This window comes from Homo sapiens, chromosome 20, assembly GCF_000001405.40.
Source record: "Homo sapiens chromosome 20, GRCh38.p14 Primary Assembly".
Taxonomy (NCBI): Eukaryota; Metazoa; Chordata; class Mammalia; order Primates; family Hominidae; genus Homo; species Homo sapiens.
The window spans coordinates 4,707,265-4,711,138 of NC_000020.11; the positions used below are offsets into that span (position 1 = coordinate 4,707,265).

The window sequence follows — 3,874 nt, forward strand, 5'->3', positions numbered from 1 at the left end:
GGGAGGCTGAGGCAGAAGAATCGCTTGAACCCAGGAGGCGGAGGCTGCAGTGAGCCGAGATCGCGCCACTGCACTCCAGCCTGGGTGACAGAGTGAGACTCTGTCTCAAAACAAAACAAAACAAAACAAAACAAAACACCAGCAAACAAACATTGTGAACTACAATTAAATTTATTTAATCACAGTACTAAATGCTACACAGCAACTGTGTAGAATACTGCATAGCAATGAAAAGCCATGCTTTAAAAGAGTTGTGCCTTACATGAGGAAGTGTGCATAATATAATTTTAATTGAAAATCAGATTGGCAGGATAATCATTTTTTATAAAACAACAACAACAAAAAAACAATGTCCGGGCGCGGTGGCTCACACCTGTAATCCCAGCACTTTGGGAGGCCGAGGCGGGCAGATCAGGAGGTCAGGAGCTCGAGACCATCCTGGCTAACACGGTGAAACCCCGTCTCTACTAAAAATACAAAAAATTAGCCGGGCGTGGTGGCGGGCGCCTGTAGTCCCAGCTACTCGGGAGGCTGAGGCAGGAGAATGGCGTGAACCCGGGAGGCGGAGCTTGCAGTGAGCCGAGATTGTGCCACTGCACTCCAACCTGGGTGACAGAGCGAGACTCCGTCTCAAAAATAAAGTATATATATATATACTGTACAAATACACAGGAAAAAAAATAACAGAAATCTTCAGGCCTTACTGTTAACAGTGGTTATTGCTGGGTGGTGGATAACAGGTGATTTTTTTATTTCCTTCTGTGTTGTTTTTATATTTTCCAAAAAATTTACAGTGTATCAAGTTGACTGGATCAAGGGGTATGTGTTTGCGTGTGAGTGTGTCTATTCTGAGTGTGTCTATGAGGGTGTTTCTGGATAAGGTTAGCATTTGAATCAGTAACCTGAGTGATGAAAATTGTTCTCACCCATGTGGGTGGGCACCACCCGATCTTCTGAGGTCTGAATAGAACAAAAAGGCAGAGGAAGGAGGAGTTCACCCCTTGTTGCCTCCTGCCTGCCTGCTTCAGCTGATGCATCCGTCTCCTCATGCCCTTGGACTGGGATTTACACTGCCACTACCCTGGTTCTCAGGCCTTTGGACTTAGGATGGAAACACAACCCCAGCTTTCCTGAGTCTCCAGCTTGAAGACAGCAGCAGGTCATGGTACTTCAGAGCCTCCATAATTGCATGAGTGAGTTCTTCCTGTATACATGTCCTTCTGGTTCTGTTTCTCCGAGAGGTCTGGCTGATACATACCTGACCAAATATTGCTTTTACAATGAGAAAAAGATTGGTAACTATTATTTTTAATCAGTAAATGGTATGCACCAAACCTGGCCGGTCTGCCTTCAGGGGGGCCTCTCTGTAGCATTTTCTCAGACATAAGTACAACTTTTGAGAGTGTAACATGCCAGGCTCTGTGCCCAACATTTGGCACATATAGCCTTACCTGATCTTCACAACGCTGTCCATTTTAGGAAGCTCACATTCAGAAACGTTTATTCTCTCACTTACCCAGGGTACACAGTATGCTCCCCAAAAGTATATTATGGAAACACATGGCCATTGATTTGTGATGATATTTAAGAGTTTGGTATAGAGGTCCTGAGCCCGGAGTGCTATGGGCACAACTCATGACCTATGTGAATGGTGCCTCCTGGACTTGTGCAGGGCACCAGCTTCAAGGGACTCTGCTGACTCCCAGCAGTACCTGGGGGAATTGTCAGCAATCCTAAAAGCAAGCTCAGCCTGCAAGGCTGCCTACCCCGGACAGATGATGCCCCCTCCAATTGAGCCATGATCCCATAGAGCCGTAGAAAATGGGTCACCTCCTGCAGGAAGCCACCAGGGTGCTTGCATGGCTGGGAACTCTTTTTTCTCTAACTGTCCCAGACCATCTGCTGCTTTCCTCCCTGCTTCCAAAAAAAAAAAAAAAAAAAAAAAAAAAAAAAAAGTCATTCTCTAAATTTTTATGGTGGGCAAAGTTATCAGTTTTCAGTAAGCCCATTCCTTAGCTCCCCTATTTGATCCATCCTCTTCTGGAAACCTTCCAGGACCCCATCTTCATTGCCTTCCTTGCTGGTTACACCATCTGGATCAGTTTTCTAGGGCTGCCATAACCAAGTACCACAGATTGGGTGGTACAACAGAATTCTATTTCTTCACAGTTCTGGAGGCTGGAAGTCCAACATCAAAGTGTCAGCAGGTGTACTTTCTTCTGAGGCCTCTCTCCTGAGCATGTAGATGGCTCTCGCCTCTTTATATCTTCTCATGGTCTTCCCTCTGGGTGTGTCTGTGCCCTAAGCCCCTCTTCTTACAAGGACACCAGTCATATTGGATTAGGGCCCACCCCAATAACTTCACTTAGTGTAACTACCTTTTTAAAAACCCTATCTCCAAATATAGTCATAAGGTGTTAGGGCTTCAATATACACATGGTGGGGGGTGGGAAGATGCAATGCAGCCTATGACATCATCTTTCTAGAAGTGTCATAAGAGTATGTCTGTCACTCTCAACACAGTTCAAAGGCACTCTCAGGACTGTGAGGGCCTTGTGGGGACCCCACATTCACACACTCCCCATGCTTCTCACAATGAAGATGCCACCGTCGGAGTCGCCGTATTCCTCTGCACAGACTGGGTCAGGACCCACCGCTCACCTTAGGATCACCAAGGGTGCCTACCTCATAGCGCCCATGGCAGAGCAAATCGCCGTGTTTCCATTCTGGATATAGCTCCTAAAATCCAGCCACCACACCCCCAAGTCTGGCACAAAGTGAAGAGTTTCATGATCAACCAACGTGGTTTAGTTTGGCTCAGACCTAGGAAGATCTAAAACTTTACGCCGGATCATGTTCCTCCCACACACAAATACACTGCAAACACACCTGGCTTGGAGTTATGCTGATTAGAAGTTAATTAACATAAAGCAGGGAGTGTTGGCTGTAATTCAGTGGCTGCTGCAGCAAGGCTGGCAAGGTCCCCTTCCTGCATGTTGCCCAATTCCAAATGCTGAGCGTGCCCACCACCCTGCGTACCGCGGCTACCCACACATGCAATGTGTCCACTCAGGTTTCTTCATGGCCAAGGCTCACCTTCCTGAGGCCCCCAAGTCTAAGGTCAGGGGAAGCACCACAGAGAGGATCAGAGGATCTCAAAGGCCCAAGTCCTTCCAAATGGGTGACCACTAGCCCTGCCCACTGTCCAGACTCACAGACTGCAGAATCCAATGAGAAGCCTGTAATTTTGATTTTCTTCTTTTCCCTGAATGACTCTGAATCTCCTTTTACCCCAACCCCTGGAGGAGGCCTTTTCTCACCAGCCAATCTGAAAACCCCTTTCTCTACACCGCCTTTCAGTGGAGGAATGACAGGTGCTGGGGTTGCTATTTCTGCCACACAGATAGTAGGGCATTTATTGTGGACCAGACTTGTCCCAAAGGAGGGTTTCCAGTCTCCAATTGGGGTCATCCAAGCATGGCTGTTTCCTGAAGAAATAGCTCTGGACCTTTGATGAACAGAAAAAAGAATGAAGGAATGATTCCATGTGCAATCAAGCTCAGATTCCCCACATAAAGTCTGTCAAAGGCCATTCTTAGCTTGAGAATTTTAAGAGTAAGATTTTTCTCTGCCCCCCAAGGAAAAGGTCCATTGTGGTTCTGCTACACATTTGATTTCTTTTTTTTTTTTTTTTTTTTGAGGCTGGGTCTCACTCTGTCACTCCAGCCGGAGTGCAGTGGTTCGATCATAGCTCACTGCAGCCTTGACCTCTCTGGCTCAAGCGATCTTACCACATCAGCCTTCCTAGTAGCTGGGACCACAAGCATGTGTCTCCATGCCAGGCTATTTTTTAAAAATTTTTTGTAGAGATGGG

At 46.7% G+C, this 3,874-nt stretch overlaps 1 annotated feature.

The window, feature by feature from the left end:
- Positions 2,495-2,996: an enhancer, noted in NCBI's record as "H3K4me1 hESC enhancer chr20:4690405-4690906 (GRCh37/hg19 assembly coordinates)". NCBI's record gives its function as "activates a minimal SCP1, AML or CMV promoter by ChIP-STARR-seq in naive H9 embryonic stem cells {active_cell/tissue: H9 hESC(naive)}" and the evidence as "EXISTENCE:reporter gene assay evidence [ECO:0000049][PMID:30033119]".